Source organism: Homo sapiens, chromosome 8 (assembly GCF_000001405.40).
Source record: "Homo sapiens chromosome 8, GRCh38.p14 Primary Assembly".
In the NCBI taxonomy this organism is placed as follows: domain Eukaryota; kingdom Metazoa; phylum Chordata; class Mammalia; order Primates; family Hominidae; genus Homo; species Homo sapiens.
The window spans coordinates 27,311,279-27,333,643 of NC_000008.11; the positions used below are offsets into that span (position 1 = coordinate 27,311,279).

The 22,365-nt window shown below is 46.9% G+C and overlaps 1 protein-coding gene across 35 annotated transcripts in view, besides 9 other annotated features; it reads left to right on the plus strand.

The window, feature by feature from the left end:
- PTK2B (protein tyrosine kinase 2 beta) overlaps window positions 1-22,365 on the plus strand; it is a 148,886-nt gene that overhangs the window by 773 nt on the left and 125,748 nt on the right. For 5 of the 35 annotated variants that reach the window (XM_047421547.1, XM_047421555.1, XM_047421549.1 and 2 more), the window contains exons 1-6: window positions 200-431; window positions 1,026-1,109; window positions 1,927-2,009; window positions 11,124-11,221; window positions 11,989-12,148; window positions 14,286-14,403. The gene's annotated coding sequence lies outside the window, so the exon portion shown is untranslated. Of the gene's footprint in view, window positions 1-199; window positions 619-1,025; window positions 1,110-1,926; window positions 2,010-8,639; window positions 8,708-11,123; window positions 11,222-11,388; window positions 11,681-11,988; window positions 12,149-13,705; window positions 14,155-14,273; window positions 14,404-15,503; window positions 15,606-22,365 lie in introns of those variants that run through there. The other 30 variants (XM_047421531.1, XM_047421548.1, XM_047421556.1 and 27 more) reach the window with 19 other exon arrangements.
- Window positions 3-212: a silencer, noted in NCBI's record as "silent region_19046". NCBI's record gives its function as "represses an Ori minimal core promoter by ATAC-STARR-seq in GM12878 lymphoblastoid cells {active_cell/tissue: GM12878}" and the evidence as "EXISTENCE:reporter gene assay evidence [ECO:0000049][PMID:35858748]".
- Window positions 14,319-14,468: an enhancer, noted in NCBI's record as "active region_27135". NCBI's record gives its function as "activates an Ori minimal core promoter by ATAC-STARR-seq in GM12878 lymphoblastoid cells {active_cell/tissue: GM12878}" and the evidence as "EXISTENCE:reporter gene assay evidence [ECO:0000049][PMID:35858748]".
- Window positions 14,519-14,568: an enhancer, noted in NCBI's record as "active region_27136". NCBI's record gives its function as "activates an Ori minimal core promoter by ATAC-STARR-seq in GM12878 lymphoblastoid cells {active_cell/tissue: GM12878}" and the evidence as "EXISTENCE:reporter gene assay evidence [ECO:0000049][PMID:35858748]".
- Window positions 15,174-16,003: an enhancer, noted in NCBI's record as "H3K4me1 hESC enhancer chr8:27183969-27184798 (GRCh37/hg19 assembly coordinates)". NCBI's record gives its function as "activates a minimal SCP1, AML or CMV promoter by ChIP-STARR-seq in naive H9 embryonic stem cells {active_cell/tissue: H9 hESC(naive)}" and the evidence as "EXISTENCE:reporter gene assay evidence [ECO:0000049][PMID:30033119]".
- Window positions 15,349-15,418: an enhancer, noted in NCBI's record as "active region_27137". NCBI's record gives its function as "activates an Ori minimal core promoter by ATAC-STARR-seq in GM12878 lymphoblastoid cells {active_cell/tissue: GM12878}" and the evidence as "EXISTENCE:reporter gene assay evidence [ECO:0000049][PMID:35858748]".
- Window positions 16,161-16,357: a silencer, noted in NCBI's record as "fragment chr8:27184956-27185152 (GRCh37/hg19 assembly coordinates)". NCBI's record gives its function as "represses an EF-1alpha promoter that drives an FKBP-Casp9 reporter gene in an ReSE screen in HepG2 liver carcinoma cells {active_cell/tissue: HepG2}" and the evidence as "EXISTENCE:reporter gene assay evidence [ECO:0000049][PMID:32094911]".
- Window positions 19,486-19,545: an enhancer, noted in NCBI's record as "active region_27138". NCBI's record gives its function as "activates an Ori minimal core promoter by ATAC-STARR-seq in GM12878 lymphoblastoid cells {active_cell/tissue: GM12878}" and the evidence as "EXISTENCE:reporter gene assay evidence [ECO:0000049][PMID:35858748]".
- Window positions 19,656-19,725: a silencer, noted in NCBI's record as "silent region_19047". NCBI's record gives its function as "represses an Ori minimal core promoter by ATAC-STARR-seq in GM12878 lymphoblastoid cells {active_cell/tissue: GM12878}" and the evidence as "EXISTENCE:reporter gene assay evidence [ECO:0000049][PMID:35858748]".
- Window positions 21,912-22,191: an enhancer, noted in NCBI's record as "active region_27139". NCBI's record gives its function as "activates an Ori minimal core promoter by ATAC-STARR-seq in GM12878 lymphoblastoid cells {active_cell/tissue: GM12878}" and the evidence as "EXISTENCE:reporter gene assay evidence [ECO:0000049][PMID:35858748]".

Here is a 22,365-nt window from a genome sequence, read left to right on the forward strand (position 1 = left end):
CCCTCCCACCCGCCCGGCTGCCAACGCCCGCGACCCGAGTGCTGGGAATCGCCCAGTCCCTTCCCCTGGAACGCTGAGAGACAGCGGCGCTGGCCAATCGTGCGGGGGGGATGGCGAGGGGGAGGGAGGGGGCGCTCGGAGGAGCCCCACCCACTTCCGGTGTGCGCGGGAAATCTTGGGAGAGCGGGGTGGGCCTTCTGCCCGCAGTTCCCGCCTCCTCAGGTCCGGGCGGGTCCCTGGCCGGGGTAGCACGGAAGGGTCTCCCAGGCGGCGTAGTAGGGCTTCCGTGTTACTGGAAACCTACTTCCGGCTGCAAATGGGAAAAGGAGCCTCTACCTTAACCAATCCCCGGGAACCTCAGGCCCGCGGATGGGAGAAACCAGAGATGCCAACTTCCTGCTTCCGAAGTAGTGGCTGGGTCTTAAAGCACCGTGAGTGCAATCACCACTTAAGTTTGCAGCGCCTTTTTGAGGACCTATGCCACTCTTGCATTAGTCGTTTACTTATTTTGGCCAGTCTTCTTCTGGCCCGCCGCGGTAAGGAGAAACAAGAGAGGGGTGGCGGCAGAAGAGCTCCGAGAAAACCTGATTCTTGTCCTGTGGTTGAAAAAGTGAACAGGTCATCATGTTTCAAAGTCCATTTACTCATGAGTACAATGGCTGTAATAGCTCTGTTTCCATGAAGTGTGAGGATAAAGTGAAATAAATGTGGAAAGTGCTCATGACAACCACTGTTTTAATGGGCAAGTGCCCATTAAAACAGTGAAATTGAGGACTTCTGCAAAGTTTAGCTGAGATAACTAGAGTTCATGCTCAATTCTTGCCAGGTACAGTAGGCCTGGATGGTTCCTTCAGATCTTCATTCCTGCTTCAGTTTGATCACTTTACAGCCTCCAGATGCAGAATACTTTTCACACGATGCACTTTCATTCCTTTTCTATTGGGAGACAATTCACATGTGTCATGTTCCTGCATGTCTTGAGAGAGCAGAGGCACTGACTGCCTTTTTCCAACTATCTTTTCAAGGATGTTTCTGCATTGAATAGCCCTGGAAGACAGAATTCTTGTCTCTCCAAAGATCTGGCAGACTTATTCCCAATTATAAGAGATGTGAGTTTCCTAAACTTGGGGCCCCTCTCCTGTAATGCAACCTACTGTAGCCTTCATCACATAGTCTTGCAAGAATTAGGGCTCAGAAACTGGCCCAATGACAATACTGTGACTACTATTATTGCTGTTAGTATTATCCTTTGTCTCTGACCCAGGAGTTTCATCTTTTAGCAGTATTCATGAAATTTTGGCATGCAAACTTGTTAGTGTTGAAACTCAGAAAACAATACCCCAAAATGGCCTCAAAAGCAGAAATTTTTCTCTGCCCTCCTATCTCTCAGTCCCCCAAGGATAGCCATAGAAATTAGAATTCCTTTTCCCCAAGGCAGGTCATAGAAACCAGAACCCCTTTTTCCTAAAGCCAGTCTTGAAACCTTAAAATATTACTCTTTCTCTCTGCCTTTCTGTGGAATAACTGGCCATAAAGAAATTATCTGACCTACCTTGTTTGACTGTAGGCCATAAGAGCCCGATTCCAGAGAGGGTCCTACCCCATACCTGTTAGGGGTAGAAGGTGTCTGAGTTAACAGCAGTGAATCTGTATGGGTCTGCAGCAACCTCAATTCTTGCCTCCTTGGAAGAAAGAATTAGACTGAGGGGCATGATATGGTTTGGCTGTGTCCCCACCCCAAATCTCATCTTGAATTGTAATCCCCATAATTCCCACGTGTCAAGGGAGAGACCAGGTGGAGGTAATTGAATCACAGGGGTGGTTTTCCCCCCATGCTGTTCTCCTGATAGTGAGTGAGTTCTCACGAGATCTGATGGTTTTATAAGTGTTTGGTAATTCCTCCTGTGTTCATTCTCCTTCCTGCAGCCTTGCAAAGGAGGTGTCTTGCTTCACCTTCACCTTCCACTGTGATTGTAAGTTTTCTGAGGCCTCGCCAGCCATGCGGAACTGTGAGTCAATTAAACCTCTTTCCTTTATAAATTACCCAGTCAGTCTAAGGCAGTTCTTTATAGCAATGTGAAAATGGACTAATACAGGGCATAAGGCAGAAAAAGCAACTGAGGCAAGTTTCAGAGCAAGAGTGGAAGTTTATTAAAAAGTTTGGGACAGAAAAGAAAGTACACTTGGAAGAGACCCAAGCGGGCAACTTGAGGGACAAGTGTGGCATTTAACCCTGATCCTGGGACTTCATATGCTGGCCCACTTCTGGAGTCTTGCTGCCCTCTCCCTTCATTCTTCCCTCAGTGTGAGCTGCCCGAATGCACAGTGCCCTCCCTATGCTTGGGAGGTGAGCATGCACCATGTGCTTAGGAATTTGTACACATGCCCATCTGAGGCTTTCTTCCCTTTTCCAGTGGAATGCCCCCGGAAGGTCATACTCCACTATTTTGTCTCTTAATGTGCATGCCCAAGCTCACTCACCCAATTTCTGAAATTTTATTGGAAGCTGATTACCAATCTCAAGTGTTTTTATCTGTTTGGGAAATTGCCTATGCCTGGCACCTGCTTTAATATCAATTAACATCAAGTAACACTTTAGTGACAGCTGTGGACCATCAGGGAATTGTCTCTCTCCCTCTCTCTGGCCCATCTGCCAAATTATCCATTTTAGAAAGGCAGTGTGATAACTGTGAAACCATCACCTGGCATTCTTGCTTGAGGGGATTGGGGAGGGTAGAGTCCTCTCCTGCCCTGCTCATGCCTGTCTAACTACCTGTAACATACCTGGAAGGAAGAAATGCATGTTCGTAGAGGCCAAGAAAAATCTAGACAGACAGGCCTAGGTTCCCCACTCAGTTTATTAACATTAGCTCATACCCTTTTGTTCAATCATATTTCTACACAGCTACTCATACTTTGCTGAACCTAAGCATGAAAATGAGCCATTTCCAGTCTATCTTTAGGTCTTCATTCTGAAGGCTCCCATGTCACATAAAACTATGATCAGGCCAGGCATGGCGGATCGGGCCAGGTGCCAGTGGTGGCTCACACCTGTAACCCCAGCACTTTGGGAGGTCGAAGAAGGCCTTGAGCTCACAAGTTCAAAACCAGCCTGGGCAACATAGCAAAACCCCGTCTCTACAAAAAATACAACGGGCGCGTGTGGTGGTGTGCGCCTATAGCCTGAGGCAGGAAAATAGGGTCTGGAGGCAGGGAACATAAGGCCAATTCACACTTCAGCTGCGACAGCAAATATCCTCCCCATAGGGCGTAGGCCAAGTAAATAACTTTGTAACTTTACTTCATCCTCTCCATTTACATAGGGCGTACCCCAGGTAACCAATGGAGTCCTCCAGAGGGTATTTAAACCCCCAAAAGTTCTGTAATGGGGCCTTTGAGCCCCTATCTCAGGCCGGTTCCCACACTGTGGAGTTTACTTTCATTTTCCATAAAACCCTTCATGCCTTCCCTGCTTAGTTTGTGCGTTTTTTCCAATTCTTTGTTCAAGATGCCAATAACCTGGACACCCTCCACCATTAACAGTCCCAGCTACTCTGGAGGCTGAGGTGGGAGAATCGCTTGAATCCGGGAGGTGGCAGTGAGTCGAGATTGTGCCAGTGCACTCCAGCCCAGGTGACAGAGCCAGACCCTGTCTCAAAAAAATAAATAAACTTCTATCCCTTTCCTCTTCTTAACCTTTTTGTCAGTGATTTGCAGTGAAACTTCAAGGGGCAAAGGAGACGTTTTCCCTTGGCCCACACATTAGCTTGCAAGTAGGGTAAAATCTCAGACCTTTAAAGTTCTTAATAATTTCTTTCCACACTTTTCCTCAGCATAGTCCTTTCCTCACAATGACAAGGGATGAATACCACTAACTCTAATTGCCTTCAGTGTTTCTTAAATGTGGTTCATGGTTCTCCTGCAATTACCTGGGGAGTTTTCTAAAAGCAGTTTCCTGGGCCCACTTTAATCTACTCATCTCTCTTGTGGAAAGTGAGGCCCAGGAATCTTCATTTTCACTTGCATGCTAGGTGATTCTGAGGTGCAAGAAAGTTTGAAAGCAATTATCCTAGATCTATTCACCCAACAAGTTGTTGGGTCTCCAGCTATGGTTGGTTAGTGGTTCAAAAATTAACCTTAGAGGCAATATCCAAAAAAGCCACAAGATGGGGCTAACAACGCTACACTCCAGATAGCCCTCTCCCCTCCCCCCAACGCAGAGACTCTTACGTCGTCTCATTCTCTTTCACTGTGTTCTCTTATCTCTGTGTCCCAGTTGTGTTGTGAATCGATATGTGTTGCTGTCTATGTGTTTCATTCTGTTCTTACCTGATCTTCCTTATTTTGTTGGGTCTTTTTTTTTTCTCATATTCTGAATGGGGCCACAAATCAAAAACAAGAAGGAAGAGTAGAAATTGTATCTTTTAAACTACAATACAAAGGTTAACATTAAACCAATAAGGCTCTTCAATCATTCTGGAAATCCAGAAAGGACTTAGTTCTAGTCCAAGCTCTACCACTACCCAGGGGCAGGACCTGGGGCATATTATTTCACTTTTCTAACTTGCTTTTCCTCCACTATAAAAGAAAAGATGGAACTAATTGCTCCAAGTTCTGACCAACTTAGATGCTCTGAAATTGTTTTATTCTTTGCATATGGTGGGGGGGTGGGTAAGGGTGACTAAGACTTAGCCAGAGACCAGGAAAGAGAAATCTTGGTGACTAGAACCAATCTGTCACCAATTTATATTTCTCCTTTCAATACAAAGGACCTTATTCAGAGGTCCTTATTGATGTTCAAGTCCTATGTATACTAGCTAATCTTCTGCAAGAGCTTACTCAAAAGTTCTCATAATCTCTAATTTCCTGCATCCCACCTCCCAAATGCCCTGCCAAGCACTGCCAGATTTCCAAACCCCTTGCCATCACCATGTAAATTTGTGTAAGGAATAACTTTTTAAATTGTTAAGAAAATAAATTCCCAGGTGCAGAGAGTAAAGGAGGAAATTGCCTTGTTTTTTTTTTTTTCTGAAACAGTGAACTAGAAAGTGGCTACTGCAAATAAAGGCAGAGATTGTTAGATTATATAAAAAGGCAAGACTCAACTATATGCTGGCTATAAGGAACTTAACTTTAAATGTAAGCATACAGATTGAACTAACAGGATGGAAGAAGATATACCACACTAATGCTAATAAAAACAAAGCTGGTTTGACTATGTTAATATCAGACAAAGCAGATTTCAGATAACAAAATATTGGGATAAGGACAACAGTTGCTAAATAAAGTCAGCCACAGGGCTGGCAGCAGCATCTTCGGAAACAGGCATCCTGGCACTGCAGACATAATCGACCTTGTTCATCAGAGTTACCAAGTAAATCTTTGAGGAAATCACTGTAGTCCGATGTACCTTTACTGAGGCCTAAACTACAGAAACAAGGAGGGTGGGAGCTCTCAGTTGATCTGAATAATGCAGGGAGAACTTCTGTGAGAAATAGTGTTTAATCCAAGTAACTAGGGAAACACTGAGGGTGGTAAACTGCCTGCCTCTGGGTCATATTTGACTGCAAACATCTTTTATTTGACCTATACTTTTTTCTGTCTGTATCATTTATGATCTTTTAAGCTACATATAGATAAAATGCAACATAAAATGATTTAAGCCATAAGGGGGTGTATTATCTCACATACCAGGAAATCTGGAGGCAAAAGGCATCCACTGTTGGTTATGTCAGTGACTTTAGATTCATCCTCTCTCTGGTCAGCCTATGGCTTCCTTTTGGTTGGAAAATGACTGCAGCAACTCCAGCATCTTATCCTGATATGAACCAATGTCCAGAAATGAAATAAGGCCATTTCTCCCTGTATGTCTCATTTTCAGAGCTAAGAAACCTTTCTTAAAACCTTCCAGAATACTCCCTTGCATCTTATTGGCCAGAACTGGGTCACATGTTCACTTCTAAATTCATCACTGGCAAGGGGAATAAGACCATCATGATTGATTTGAGCTAATCAGAATTTACCTGAATCATGTGATGAAGGTGATTACCTGAGATACATTAGGGGCTCTGCTATTTATTATAAAAGGGAGAAAATTTTCCATTTGATAGGCAGTGACCTAGGCAATATTATGTCTTCCAATCCATGAACACAGGATGTCTTTTCCATTTCCTTATGCCTTCTATTATTTCACCAATGTTTTGTAGTTCTCATCATGCAGGACTTTTGCCTCCTTGGTTAAGCGTATTTCCAAGTATCTTATTTTTGCTGTCATTGTAAATGGAATTGTTTTTTCTTAACTTCCTTTGCAGATAGTTCACTGTCTGCCTTTGCGTTTTGAAAAAAGGAGGATCTGGCTTCATTAAGCTTACTTTTCTGCATGGCAATAGACTTTTGAGCTGAATAGCAGCTGCTCCCTGTAGGAGGGACATTTGTTCTCCCATTTGCCACAGTTCCTATCCAGCCAGCTTCCCTCACATTCCCTGCTCGGCCCCTGTAGGCATTTCGGCTTTCGACCTCTTGTTTAGATCATCCACATGAAGTTACACATTGCTGCAATTCATTATAAAGACACTGGAGTGGTACAGGAATAGACAGCCAACTTGGCAACTGGACACAACACAAAGCTGATTTTCCATGTTCCTGAAATTTATATTGAAGCACTCAATTATTTTATTGGAAACATTTTGAATGGGAATATTTCAGAAATATATTTTGTGGTTTTTTTTCTCTAAAGCATGCAGAACGTAATATAAATCATACCTCATGATGCACCAAAATAGACAATAATACTCTACTGTGCTGGCTAATAAAGTAATAGGAGTTAATGAAGTATGCAGGGTTATTTGTCTCTGTCCTGTAAATGGCCACAGATGCTTGGTTTTGAGGGCTCTTGCACATGCTAGGCATTTTTTTCCTGTCTAGAAGTTCTTCTTGTTCCTAACAATGCATTTGCCTGCAGCAATCTGCTTTCACTTCCTAGTTGATGTTTCCTGCACACGGTGGGCTGGGACCAGATCACCACGTTTGTTAAAATTATGGAATTCGACACTGGCAAGCAAGGTTTGGGCAGTCACTCAATGCTTCAGAGCTTATCCATGGGATGTTGGGGACCAGATGAGCCCACTCACAGGTGGGGGTTAGGGGTTCAGAGCCAAGAAGACCAAAGTCATAGAGCTGATTCAGAGTCGGCAGGGCATCAGGGAAGTCTCCTTTTCCAGGCAGCCACTCTTTCTAGGAGCAGCCTGCAGGCCAGCCCTGCAGCAACCTGGGGAGTTATGGAAATCCTGAAGCGTGCCCAATAGCTGCGGAAACCATGTGTCCTCTGTGGCAACCATGTGTCCTCTGTGGCATTGAGGCTTTCTCTGCATGGTTTTGTTTGTTTGTTTTTGAGGCAGAGTATTGCTCTATTGCCCAGGCTGGAGTATAGTGGCATGACCTCGGCTCACTGCAACCTCCGCCTCCAGGGTTCAAGCAATTCTTCTGCCTCAGCCTCCGGAGTAGCTGGAATTACAGGTATGCACCATCACACCCAGCTAATTTTTGTATTTTTAGTAGACATGGGGTTTCACCATGTCGGCCAGGCTGGTCTCAAACTCCTGACCTGAAGTGATCTGCCCACCTCAGCCTCCCAAAGTGCTGGGATTACAGGCGTGAGCCACTGCGCCTGGCCTTTCGTGTTGTTCTTTAATGGAACAATTAAAAATGCTCTTCAGTGTTTTCCATCCTTCCAAAAATTGACCCAAATCAATTTTTCAATGGTTTAACTATGTCTTTATTTTTCCCAAAGAGATTCACATTGGATTATTTCCAGGAGCCCTTTTTTATCCTCTGTGGAAAGATCTTATTTTGTTCATTTTTTTTAACTTTTTCATTATGTGCAGTTTCAAATGCACTCAATATTTTAGAGAGAACAGTATAATTAACCCCCACATACCCATCATTCAGCTTGCATTATTATCAACTTTGCTATTTTCGTTTTATCTCTCCCCTCTACAGATTTTTTTTTGGATGGGGGAGGTGGAATATTTTAAAGCAACCTTTTTTTTTTTTTCAGGAACCCGTTTTAAAAAGTTACAACAGGGTGGGGCATGGTGGCTCATGCCTGTAATCCCAGCACTTTGGGAGGCCAAGGCGGGAGGATCACGAGGTCAGGAGATCGAGACTGTCCGGGCTAACATGGTGAAACCCCGTCTCTACTAAAAATACAAAAAAAATTAGCCAGGCCCGGTGGCGGGCGCCTGTAGTCCCAGCTACTCGGGAGGCTGAGACAGGAGAATGGCATGAACCTGGGAGGTAGAGCTTGCAGTAAGCCAAGATTGCACCACTGCCCTCTAGCTTGGGTGACAGAGCAAGACTCTGTCTCAAAAAAAAAAAAAAAAAAAAAATTACAACAGGACATAATATCCATTAATGGTCAGTTATGAGCTATAGCAATAGCAAGGAAATGCACATGTACTTCTAGTTTTTCTAACATCCCATAAGGTAAATTAATCCCATTTTATACATGAGAAAATTGAGGTTCTGCCTTAACTTATATCTAAAAGAAAATAGGATAAATGGTGGTGTATTAGCTAGGATGCTCTGAAGAAAAGAAAAACGCTGCATATTTCTCTGTACTCTTCTGTACCACCCAACAGTCACGTCTGATGCTGGATGTGCAGGAGTTTCTCCCCACCAACAACTGATTGCCAGTGAACACCAGCTGGTGAGACAGCCGGGTGGGAAGGGTCCCCAGAGAAACTCTAGCCAGCCTGTATACTGGGAGGAGTGCGCATTGGGGTGGAGCCACAGGAGTTCCTGCTGTTTGTAGTGGGGAGGAGTCTGGCCCCTCCTTTTCCTGGGTGGTACCTGCGATTCAAACTGTGAGGTAGGAAGCACGTAGGGACTCTGGCTTTGTGAAGGGTCCCTGTTGCCATTTTTTTCCCTCTTCACCCAATAAAACCCTGCCTTACTCACCCTTCAAATTGTCTGTGAGCCTAATCTTTCATGGCCATGAGACAAGGACCCCGTCTTTAGCTAAACTAAGGAAAAGTCCCACAACACTGAGCGTCCCATAATTCAGCTCAATTCAGACACTATCTACCTGGAGATAGCATCAGATCCCACAGGCTAAGGGCTCAGTCCCACAGGACTGCCCCAACTCCCCACCCTGCCACCCCGCTCCAGCTTCAGATGCCAGTAGCAAGTCCCGGGTTGTGGCCTGTGCTTCCGACTGACTGGCTATACATCAGGGTTCCCATGACCCCTCCTTAGGTTTGATTAATCTGCTAGAGTGGCTCACAAAGCTCAGAGAAACACTTTTCTTTCTTTTGTCCTTTATTAAAAAAGATATTGTGAAAGATACAGGTGAGCAACCAAAGGGAAGAGATGCACAGGGTGAGGTCTGTGGGAAGGGGCATGGAGCTTCATGCCTTCCCTTAAAGTGCCACCCTTTGAGAACCTCTGCAACTTCAGCTCTGAACCATGTTCTTTTGGGTTTTTAGGAAGGCTTCTTTATGTAGGCATGACTGATTACAGTATTGGCCATGGGTGATCAACTCAACCTTCAGCCCCTTTCCTTCCCCAAGTTTTAGGGATAGCGCTGAAAGTTCAGCCTTCTCATCATACCTCAGTTTTTCTGATGACCAGCCCTCATCCTGAAGCTATCTAAGGGATCTAAGATACCTAAGCCACCAGGCATCTCATTGGCATACAAAAGGCTTTTTTTTTTTTTTTTTTTTTTTTTTTTTGAGACAGGGTGTTGCTCTGTTGCCCAAGCTAAATTCATCCACTGGTGCAATCATAGCTCATTGCATCCTCAGTCTCCTGGGCTCAAGCAATCCTCTTGCATCAGCCTCCCAAGCAGCTAAAACTACAGGTGCATACCACCATGCCCAGCTAATTTTTGTATTTTTTTGTACAGATGAAGTCTTGCCACGTTGGCCAGGCTGGCCTCGAACTCTTGGCCTCAAGCAATCCTCCCACCTCAGCCTCTCAAAGTGTTTGGATTATAGGCATGAGCCACCATGCCTGGCCTCAAAAAAACATTCTTAACACTCCAGAAATTCCAAGGGTTTTAGAAGTTGTGTGCACGGTCAGAGACCAAATATATATTTCTTATTATGTCATAGTATCACCGATGCAGTTCAGGCTATGGTAACAGAAAGGCCAAAATAAAGTAACCCAAGCAACTTAAATTTCTTTCTCATGTAAAAGTTAAACTAGGTTCAGACTATGTCCAGGGTAAGCATGGTGGCTGGACGGCATTAGGTACCCGGATTCTTAACATCATAGACTGGATGGCTGCTCCAGGTTTCATTGTCAGGTGGAGGTGGAAAAGATAAAGTGGAAAATATTGGAGGATGTGCTCATTCCCTTGAGGGGCATGATTCTGGAGTTGCGTGCATAACTTCTACTCTTCAACCATTGCGGAGAACTTAATCACATGGTCGCACCTGGTCACACATGCAAGGGAGACTGGGAAATGTAGCCTTCATTTTGGGCAGGCTGTGACCATCTGAAAGTCAGGGATTCCAATATTAAGGAAAGAAAAGAGAAAGTTCTTTTTTAGGTTGAGGGCATGATTTTGAGTTCTATTCAAGCCATACTCAACTTATTTTGGCCTCAACTGTGGCCCACTTCGTAAACATAGTGATGTCTGGTTAAATTAGAGGTAGACATCCCTTGGTGATGAAGTACTTTTTTCAGTACTTGTACCCATAAGTTTTTCTTTGTCCCTTTTTTTTTTTAAATGGACTATCACTCTGTCACCCAGGCTGGAGTGCAGTGGCATGATTATAGCTCACTGTAACCTCTGCCTCCCAGGTTCAAGCGATTCTCCTGCCTCAGCCCCACCAAGGAGCTGGGACTACAGGCATACACCACTATGCCCAGCTAGTTTTTGTATTTATCCATTTTTTTTGTTAGAATACTTATAACCATACTGTTCTTTTAAAATAAAATTTATTCTACATAATAGTAAATTTACATGATGTAATTTAAATTCCATCATTTACAATGGAGAGATGCCAGTTACATAATGTCGCAGCCCTGCCAATGATGGGTTTTGCTCTTTACCACCTGGGAGCCTGTGAATAATTTATTTACCTTATCCAAGCTTCCTTTTCCTTTCTGCAAACCAGGAATAGGACTAGCAACTTCATAGACGGTTGTGAAGACAAGCTAGACGGCAGATGAAAGTTCTTGGCACAGAGTGAACACTTGATAAACTATATGGCAGGTATGTATGTACTATCTCCCCATAAAGCTTACTTTAATTGCTATCATTTCTAAAAATTATAGCTATAGAATTTTTCATAGCATTTGTACACCTATCACTTAATTTGGGCTTCACAATACCCTGGGAAACAGGTAGAACAGATAATACTTATTTTTCTACTTTTCTAGATTAGGAAATAAAAGCTCAGAAAGATGGATTCGCATGTCCAAAGTCACAACCTCTTCCCTCTTGACTGGATCCTTCCTGTGAGCATTGAAACCTGCTCTACTGGCTATCATCCTAAATGACAAATCAGTCCTCTTTCAACCCACGACCCCCTCCAATATCCCCTGGTCTCAATTGCCCTTGGCAGTCAAGCTTTCCAGGACTCATCAGCGCGTGCCGCCTCTGTGTCTTCACTTTCAGTTTACTTATCAGCCCACCCCACTTGACCTTTGGCTCTTCATTCATTTGCTCCTGGTAAGAGCTTCACTTGAAGTCCTCTGCTGTCTCTGACTCTTGCCTTAGACAAGTTTATCCATTCTTGTGGTTTCAAATGCCATCCCAAAAGTTAATCACCAGCTCAACCACCTTTGTGATCTCCAGTTAGTGAAAAGATAAGAAAAGAGAACCTGAACCAGGATGGGTCAATAGGACAGGAAAGAAAACGAGGAATAGGAAAAAAGTTTGTGGGACTCCCAGGACTTAGAGATTGGAGATTGCATGGCTGCAGGGTAAGGAGGGAGAGGGAGAGTCAAAGGTGACTTCTCTTTTGTTGACATTCACAGGGAGGGCTGGAACGGGGCTTGTTTGAAGAGCAATATGAGCCAGGGTTATAGACCTGAGTTTGGGGTAAGAGTGGAACATCCAAATGGAAGAGTCCAGCAGCTGAAAGGACATTTGTTCAAAGGCCTTTTTCATTACAGTTTTCTCCTTCTTCTGATCCAGGTATGCATCCCCCCAACACCCCCACAATTAGGGCCTCCCACATGGCACTTGGTCAGCTTGAGATACAGAAGTAGAAGGGAAATATTTTTCTTCTCTAACTGGGGTAGATCATTATTGCAACTTATGCCATATGGAGAGCATCGCCATGGATAGTGTCTTTTAGGGATTTCCATGGAATTTGAGGGCTCCTGAGGCATTTCTGATGGGTTTTTTTAAAAGGCAGTAACAGGCAGAAATGCATGACCTTGTCACCTGAGTTGCTTGTACATGACACTGGACAGAACCTAGGGAGACCTGATGGCGGAGTTGGCCACCCCAGAGAGTTTCTCAATGTCTTTTTCATTTAAAAAGCTATGGGTTTATGATTCTGTGAGGTAGATTTGGGAGATTCTTTTTTTAAAGTGCTGAAGAATTCAACAACCTCTGAAAACTCACCTTTCCCAGAATTGGTCCCAGCAAGATAAGATTGTAGTTCATTTATGTGGCCACACAGGGGCAGCACACACAAACTCTCCTTTTCTTAAACAGGTCTTGATTGTCTTTGCTTTTAGTTCCCACTGCCACCTCCTAGTACAGACTCTCAACAACTCACCCAGGTATCTAACTTTTGTGCCACTCAGCCTTCATCACTTCATTTCCAAGCGCAAGAATACGGAGGGGACACCCACTGTCAGATGCCCTCTGACCATGTCCTTGCCATGTAGTCAATTACCTGCCTCCTCATCCCCACACCTTCCCTGCTAACTTCAGTGTACCTCTGTCTGACTTGCCTCTCCATCCCTGGCCAAGTTCTCCCACCTGACCACCTTCTGACCTGCTGACCGCTGTGTAGTCACCAAGATTACCTCCAAAATGCTGAGTGCTGGGAACGTGACAAATCTGTGAATAGCACAAATGGGAAGGGGTGGGGGGGCTCCAGCTGTCAAGGCTGGCAGTGCCCATCAATGGGTTGTGAGCCCCATGCTGGGCAGGTGGGCCCTAGCTGCAGAGAGTCTGATCTTCATCGGACCCAGAGTGACATCCAGCCAATAGCTATGGGTAGTCCACTAATTATACTTTGAGAAACATTGACTTCCTAGCTTTGTTAACTTATCTAAGTCTCCAGTTTCTTTTCAGAAATGGGAAGGAGTCAGTGCAATCTTGGAAACTGAGTGCTTCCTCAGCACAACTCCAGGGGGCGCCATTCTCAGAAAGTACATTGTGAATAGCATCCTCTAGAATTGTGCAACAGGGCAGCTCTGGGAATCAGATTCCAATCCTGCACAGGACACAGAATAAAGAAGCTTGGGACAGGGGCTCTGGAGAGGACATTGTAGGATGAGGATGATGCTGCGTACACTCCACTTTTTTCACTTTATGCCAAGTCCAGGTCACTTCCTCCTCCTACTCAGGAGCAAGTCTGGAGTTTTCCTAGGGATAGGGAAGAAGTGTTGCTAAGTGCCCTTGAGTGCCTGCTCACATATCACCGGCCTGAGGAAAGAGGGGACCAGCCTCTGGGCGGGGCCCCTGGAAGGGGCTGTCCAGCATCTCTAACTATTCTTGTGCTGTCCTCAGACCCTACTTAGTCACAGCTCAGGGACCTGGTCTTCTGTGTTCAGGGACCTGGACCGGTTCTGCCAAAATCCCTAGTGGTATTTATGATTTTTCATGCCTGCAAAGGGACTGGGGCCACTTTAGGACATGGAGAGATTAGGACACAAGTGCTCAGTACCATGTAGATATAACATCTCCCACTGCGGGGGGTCTTGGGAGAACCAGCCTGAGAAGTTGGTTTCCTCCGCCCGCCCTGCGCCCCCACCCACCTCACACACACCTTTTGGCCTCCAAAAGGCTGCAGGTGGAGTGGACAGAGGATGGAGGGGTGTTAGGAATTGGGGAGTTAACTGCTCACAAGGGGCACATAACATCCGAGGATCCCATTTGCGGCCGGGGGAATGGCAGAGATCGCCCCCCAGGTCTGCCCGGCGCTCAGGGAATTGGTGGCAGCGTCTATTTCAGAGTTTATGGTAAGAGGCTGGAGCCGGCACACACAGACAACACACCCCACCCTTTAAGGAAGTGGGGAGGAGAGCAGCAGGGGTGTGGTTAACAACTCAGAGGAGGAGGGAGAATCTAACCTGTCAGCCCTTTTACTCAGCCACAGCCTCCGGAGCCGTTGCACACCTACCTGCCCGGCCGACTTACCTGTACTTGCCGCCGTCCCGGCTCACCTGGCGGTGCCCGAGGAGTAGTCGCTGGAGTCCGCGCCTCCCTGGGTGAGTCCCTCCCGCGAGCCAGGGCTGAGCGCTGCGCCCGGCAGAAGTTGGAGGCTTGACCGGGTGGCAGGGGTTGGGGACAATTCCGGGATCCTGGGCACCTGAGCTGGGAGTTCCCGGAGAAACGGCCAGACCCAGGAAATCGGAGCCGTGGGTGCTGTGCACATGCCCGGAGCTCGCCAGCCTTCCGCGGGGAAGAGGGGTTCTATTTTTGGAGTAAATTTGACACTATAGGGTGTTTCTCCCTCTTTGTCCTCTCAACATATTCAGACAGGGGAGGCTGGGGGAGGCTAGGGGTGACGGTGTGAGGGCACAGCCAGGCTGCTGCCTCTAAAGCTCAGGTTAGGGAGCCACGGGGTTTCAGCTCCTGCCCCCGCTCCCCGCTCCCTCCCGGGCCCTTCCGCAGCCCCAGGGGTTATAGTCTCACCCCCAGCCCACCCTGACTCTCCTGCAGCCACTCCTTGCACCTGAGAGGTCATCTTCTGAATCAAGCCCTGGCTGGAGGAAAGCAAGGGTGTTCTGGGGCACAGGGGAGCTCGTGTGTATGTGTGTGTGTGTGTGTGTGTGTGTGTGTGTGTGTAGTTAACACTGGCCATTCTGGTATCTTGAGAAGCCGCCTCCTGAGTGCCACTCAAGGGTTAAGTTCAGAGCTGCCTCTGCCTGCTGTCAGGCTGCGCGTGGGCACCGCTTTGGGTGGGTGAGCGTGGAGCGGCATATGGGTGATGTTCTGCAAGCCCTGCCACCTGCCCTAAGCCTCGACCACATGACACTGGCATCTCCCTATACCCCAAACTGGGAGCAAAATCCAAGTCCGCTCATTTAAGGAGCCAGCAGAAGGACAAGAGCAGAAAGTTGTGCCTAGAGGTGGCTTTAGCCAGGAGGAACTCGGAAGCTGCGCTGTGGCTGGGTCTGAGCCCACTGGGGCAGTGCACGTGGTGTGATGTGGTGGTGGGTGCTGGGAGGCCCCTCTACGTGGGATGCTCTCTGTTCACCCCAAGTGCTGTTGCTGAAGGCCCTGTCTTTCCCAACCACTCTGGGGGAGGGGGAGGAGGACACTGATGAAAAAGTGACTAAAGACAGAAGGGAGGAAGGAAGTAGTCACACTGGAGAGCCCCAGCATTGGTGGGACAGTCTGCAGTCATCCATTCAGGAGGCACTCACTGGCTTCCCACCTGCGGCCAGGTGCAAGGTGTGGGGACAAGGTGAGTGTGGCATGGCCTCTGCTCACCAGGGCAGTGTGGGATACCGGGTGGTTGAGGGAGGGCTGCCAGGGGAAGGTGCAGGGTACTATCCAACCCTGCACTAGAGGGCTGTGGGGGGAGCCAGTCAGCAATGGCCAGGAGGGCGTCCTGGCAGAAGTGACTCCAAATTGAGAGCTGAAGGATGACTAGAAATTAGCACAAGAGAAGAGGGGAAAGAACAGCAAGTGCAGAGACTGGAGGCTAAAAGCAGCAGGAGGCTGGAAGCAGCGGGCGGCATCCAGGAAAATGAAAGTAGCTGGGCTTGTTGGGAACCTAGAGCGTGCAGGGGCGAGGGGAAGCTGCAGGGGTGAGTGGAGACTGCTCTAGAAGGCTTTGGAAGGCCTGCCAGGCTGCCATGGCAACTTCTGTTGGAGCAACACTTGGGACCTGGAGCCAGGCAGGAGACTTCCCAGCAGGAAGAGATTGCCAGATTTAGCCAATAAAAGCACGGGACACTCAGATTTGAATTTCAGATAAGCACTCAATGGTTTTTTTTTTCACTACAAATATGTCTCATGAACTACATGGAACATACTTATACTCAAACATTATTCACTGTTTCTCTGAAATTCACATTTAACTGGGTGTCCTGTATTTATCTGGCAACCCTACTCTAGGAGAAGCTGAGGTTGGCGCAATGCTGTGAAGTAAAGGCTGGAAACTGCCCAGGCACTCTGAGAACAGTCTCAGGTCTATCTTGTAACCATTCCTCCTGGATTTTATTATGAGCTCATTTAAAAAACAAAAAATCAATTCCTTGGTCAGTTTATTCATCTATACAGGTGAAGGAGTATGGTACCTCAGAAAAAACGACATTAAATCCAGACAGATCTGGGTTCAAATCCATGTAGACCGGTGAGCTTCTCTGACCCTCAGAATCCTCTTTTCTGAAATGAGGGCAGGAGTATCTGTTTGTGCAGGTGGTTGGGAGGATCCCTGATAATGTATGTAAATTGCCTAGTGAGTACTAAAGGAAACATGGTACATATTGAATTTTGCAACACCTTCACAGGGTTGAGCAAAGCAACAGCCACAGAGTGCTTGGGTTCATTTACTTCCACAAGTGAGCACTTGGAGGTCTCAGGTGAAATACATAGTAGGGTTCATGCTTCCAGTGAGAACTCGTGGGGTTAGCCCTTGGGTTGGGGACAGAGTCTGCATTATGTTTTTAGCTTTGCTACTCCCTTCCCATATGACCTGCTTCAAGGGGTGGAGATATAACACTCTTCTTGAGGGATGGTGGGTGGGCAGAGAGTGACTCAAAGTAGAATTAACTGAAGGGAAATGTGAATGAATTAAAGTAGAGAATCCAGATAAAATATTCAGCGCAGACAAATGCGCCATGAAATTTGGCTGTCATGATTCCCAGTTTTAGGATGAGTTCCTTATTAGAAAAGTAGCGCTAAGAGATAGAGGAAGTGAAGGTGCCTTATGAACTGGATTTTGACTTTAATGGGAGCATTTGTAACAACAAATTAGGGTCCTCCTAAAAGGGAACCTAGAGGAAGTTAAGAATTCGTTAAGAGAAAGAGGAAATGGAAAGTGTGTTTCCCTTGTGGGAACGGCTAGGTTAAAAATGGTCCTTCTTTCCAGTGGCTAAATCTCCCCATCCCCCTGTGATAAACATTTTGTCCCCAGGCCCTTGGATTGTTTGCCCAGGTGGTGTTGAGAGAGACCCTATGGCGTGAGATGGATAGAGGTGTTCCACTGATGAAACGTTCAAATGAGCCTGCACTTGGACATGTGTCTTGAATATTTGCAAGATCAAGGTTATGATAAGTCCTGCATAAAAAGACACGTGTCATTCCCTGAGGATGGCTGTAGAGCCCATGCACATTCTCAGGGAAACAGCATTCCACATTGAGTGAACCTTGATGTGAGGGCAGTTTGGGGACCAAGCAGGTCGTTCAGAAGGCATAGCCCTTCTCATAACTCTAGCCAGGATGGACCTAATTCATTCTAGACTAGGCAGTGTCCAACTTAGAGAAGATCTTCAAGGAAGGAGCCCTTGCGTGCAACCTTTTTTTTTTTTTGAGATGGAGTCTCACTCTGTTGCCCAGGCTGGAGTGCAGTGGCGCGATCTCAGCTCACTGCAACCTCTGCCTCCTGGGTTCAAGTGATTCTCCTGCCTCAGCCTCCCGAGTAGCTGGGATTACAGGCACGCACCACCACGTCCAGCTAATTTTTGTATTTTTAGTAGAGACGGGGTTTCGCCATGTTGGCCAGGAGGGTCTCAATTTCTTGACCTCATGATCTGCCTGCCTCAGCCTCCCAAAGTGCTAGGATTACAGGTGTGAGCCACCGCGTCTGGCTGTATGCAATCTTTCTAGCATCATGCATCCTTCAGAGACACAAACTCCCACCTGTATCAGCCTGAGTCTTCCCATTGCAGATCCGGCCATGTTTCATCGTGCAGAGGACCCTGGAGAAAGTCCAAGTCCCTTGGCACTTAGCTCTCCATAGTGACGACAGTAGCTCCATGTACCCCAAATACTGCTAGGACAAAGGAAACTGATGGTGAGGCTAGGGAGGGGAGGGAGGCTACCCTGGGGCTACCCTGCATGGTAGGTCACTCAGTCTCTAGTTTCCCCTGCCTGGGACCCATATGTCTCAGGACCATGTGACCCTGGCCTCCCAGGTAAATGGCCACATTGGGGGATGGAGTAGAGGTGCAGAGCTGCGACGTGCCCGGGGCTGAAAGTGTGGTGATGAAGATAAGTTTTGCTGGCTTGAGGATGAAGAGTTTCCTTGTAGAGTACGGGTCAGTTCCAGGGTTAAGGAGAAAGAGCAGGGATAGTGGTGACTCTGCAACACTGATATGCCTTATCTGTCCAAGCAGTCGGATGGTCAAGAGCTCAGGCTCAGTCAGTCTGCCTGGGTTCCAGCCCAGGTTTGGTACCCCCTGAGTGACGTTAGGTAGGTGAGTTAGCCCTAGCTTCCTATTTGCAAGATGGAGACAATAACAGGGCTTTGGGTGAGGGTGGCATGAGATAGTGTACATTAGAGAGATATTCAAAATACAGCTACTAAAACCTGAGTACAGATCAAACAGAACAGACACCACCATTACTCTGAGCAGCGTCAGAGAGGCCCCCTTCCATGCCAGGCTCACCCCGTCAGTGCATCTTGTGGAGTCTGGGGGTGGAAGAAACAGGCCTTTGGAGGGCTGTAGCGTGGACATATCCAACGAGGATGGACTGTTTCGATATTTCAACAACCCAGATGCACCCGCTTAATAATAGCATCTTATGCACCCACTGAATAATAATAGCGTCGAAGTACAATAAAACATTCAGTCCCATAATTAGGCAGATGATATGCATCCAATAAGTATGAGCTCTCTGGTATCTTTACACATATGGCCATATCTGAGCTGGCGGGGCAGCACCATTTATTTTTCCAGAGGTTATAGGTCCTCTTCTGCGAGGCATCAGGCAGCTTCCCCTGAGCACTCTCTCACAAGCATACATCAGGTATTCAATGATGTTTGTTTCTGCCTAATCCCACTCTCAGTTCACTGTGTTTTGGCAACAGCCAGCCCTCATTAACTCTTTAGACAGCGAAGAGACTGTCTACGAATGCCCAGCCGGCACTGAAGTCTAGATGGTCATTTAAAGCGTTCAGAGAGCTGACAGGTAGGAGAAAATGGTGGCTTCACTTTCTGGGCCTCCTAACTCTGTGTACAAAGCTGCGAGCTGTGCAAGGGGGCGGCAGAGGGGGAGGGGATAGCTTTTTGAGTCACTCTGCTATTTCTCAAGGAATAATTATTACTCATGGTGACAGTTTATTAAGAAGAGCAGACTTGAGGCTGCATGTTCCGACACACTTTTCACCCAGATGCAGCGGGCAGGTTGGTGTGAATGCAGAGTTTAATTTTCAGGAGACCCTCCAGGTAGGCCACAGGGGGCCTGCAGGGGTGGACGCTGCTCTGAGTTTAGTGGTCTTCGTGGCCTCTTACCTTTTCCCAGCACTAAGGTGGTTGCTGCTTTTATGAGGCAGCCAGTTAGTGTGACTAAAACCAAGATCAGCAATGGCCAATACCTGCGGGAGGCAAGCCTTCCCGTTTCCTAGCTTGGCTGTGTTCGCTAACATCTTCCCCCTCTCCAGTTCTCTCTCTTCCTTTTATGTTCTGAAATCCACCCACACAGAATCTGGTAAGATCACTCACTAGAGACAGGAGGGCTCAAAGAATCCACCTCGCCCAGGGTTTAGAGCTCGGTACCAGGTTTAATTCACATCTCCTGCATTTGTCTTCCTTTAAATTGGACCAATTCTCCCAATAATTGTGGGGGCAGACCCCCTTTTAATGCCCTTTCTTTCTTGAGGGCCTTGCACCTGATTCTGTGAGAACCTGCCCCCCACAAGCCATAGCAGTCCCACTGGTTCATATGGGGGTGATTGATGGGGAGGGGTGTACTGGGAATTCTGACCTGAGTTTGGGTTTTGCTCTTCTGGGGGTTCCCTTCTCACCTTTCTCACCTGGGACGGAATGGCCCCTGTGGTGGTTCTGACCACTTGGAGCACCATCATTTTCTGGTTTTTTTTTTTCTTTTCTTTTTTTGAGACAAAGTCTCACTTGGGTGCAGGGGCATGAGCCAAGACTACAGGCACATGCCACCACACCTGGCTTATTTTCTTTCTACAACCTCTACCTCCTGGGTTCAAGAGATTCTCCTGCCTCAGCTTCCCGAGTAGCTGAGATTACAGGCACCCACCACCATCCCTGGCTAATTCTTTTATTTTTAGTAGAAACGGGGTTTCACCATATTAGCCAGGCTGGTCTCGAACTCCTGACCTCAGGTGATCCACTCCCCTCAGCCTCCCAAAGTGCTGGGATTACTGGTGTGAGCCACCACACCCTAAATTAATGTACTGATTTAGGGTTTCTGATTTCTAAATTAATGTACTATGTCCATCCCACTGCTCTGGGAACCTCAAGTGCTTTTCTATGTTCTCTGGCAGTATTTGGAGTCAAAACCCAACCCCTCTCACCCAGCTCCATGTACCCAGTCCCCGCCCCCAGGTCCCACCCCAGGTAGGTTATGAGAGATCTGATGCTGCTGCACTTTGCACCTCTGCAGAGGCTCTTGGCAACATCCGGTCACATCCCCTCCGCTATTTAGGCAGATGTTTGGTGCTGGCAGACAGCGGTGCCAACCAAGACAGCTGCAAGTGGCTCACTGCAAGTTTGAATCCCAGCCCCTAGCTCATTACAGGCAGAAGCTCAGGCAGTTTTTCAGCCCGGGCAAGAGGAAAGAGAGTCAGAGGGCAGGAGGCCTGAGCTTTGGTGTAGATTCTCTCACCTGTTAACTGGGGTACATTGGCTAAATCTCTTTCCTCTTCAAGCCTTCCTTTTCTCATTTGAAGATGAAGAATTGGTACTGCCTCCCTAATAGGGTAATGGAGAGAAATACTTGACTGTGTGAAAATCCCCCATAAAACATCACAGGCATTGTCCCAGGAAAAGTGATGAATTTGGGATCAGAACGTGGTGGGTTTGACTCTCGACTCTGTCATACTCTGCCTGTCTGACATCGCCAAGTGATAGAACCTCTCTGAGCCTTACTTTGCTAATTTGTAATTTGTTCTAGGCACTTGTTGAATGTTTCTCCCCATCACCCCCTTTACTCTCAGGGTATAGTTTTTCTTCCCCCAATTTTTTTTTTTATCTCATTTCGAGACAGAATCTCACTCTGTTGCTCAGGCTGGAGTACAGTGGTGCGATCACACCTCACAGCAACCTTGACCTCTCAGGCTCAAGCAATCCTCCGGCCTCAGCCTCCTGAGTAGCTGGGGCCACAGGCACATGCCACCACACCCGGCTAATTTTTAAAATTTTTGTAGAGACGATGTCTTGCTATGTTGGCCAGGCTGGTGTTGAACACCTGGGCTCAAGCAATTCTGCTTCGGCCTCCCAGAGTGTTGGGATCACAGGCATGAACCACCACTTCTTCCCCCTAATTTGAGGAATTATATCTGTCCTCACAAAGTTTATAGTATGGTAGGGGAGGCAATACATGAAGATAAAGAACTGTAAGATATTTATTTAACTCTAAGTTACTTAAAGGTAAATAATGTGCCATAAAAGAGGCACGAAGTGCTATGAGATTGCAGGGCAGAGATTCCTTCTGGCTATGGACTCTGGGAATGCTTCCTGGAGGAGACGGCATTTGGCAAAGCTCTGAAAGGATAGACAGGATACACTGTGGGAACTTGAGATGGTGGCTGTAGTCAAAGAAGAGTATAAATAACAGCAGAGAGATGGAGAGGTGTGGTTTGAGTGACTCATTTTGGGTGGAACCAAGAGTGGCAAAAGGCAATCAGAGTTGGGGGTGGAACGGAAGATAAGGCTTGGACAGGGAGGCCAATGTGTTTGGGAGTTATCCTGGAAGTCCCAGACAGCCATGGGGCTTTATTCTGAAGGCAGTAGGAGCTGTTGACCATGCTGACTTCGGTGGAGGTGCGAGGGTCAGATTCTGGTGTGTAGAGTGGATGAGAGTGAAGAGAGCTTGAATTCGCAAGGGAGCAGATAAGAGAGTGTTGTAATATTTCAGGCCTCACACATCTGAATAAATTGCGTAACTCAGATACTTTGCGGTCCTGTGGAGCATGCAGGCATCCCCTGGAGGCTTCTACTTTCTCTGAGCTGAAATTGGTTCTTTGATGAATTTGAGAGATATATAACTTATGAGAACATCCATGAGAAACCCACCATTCCTCT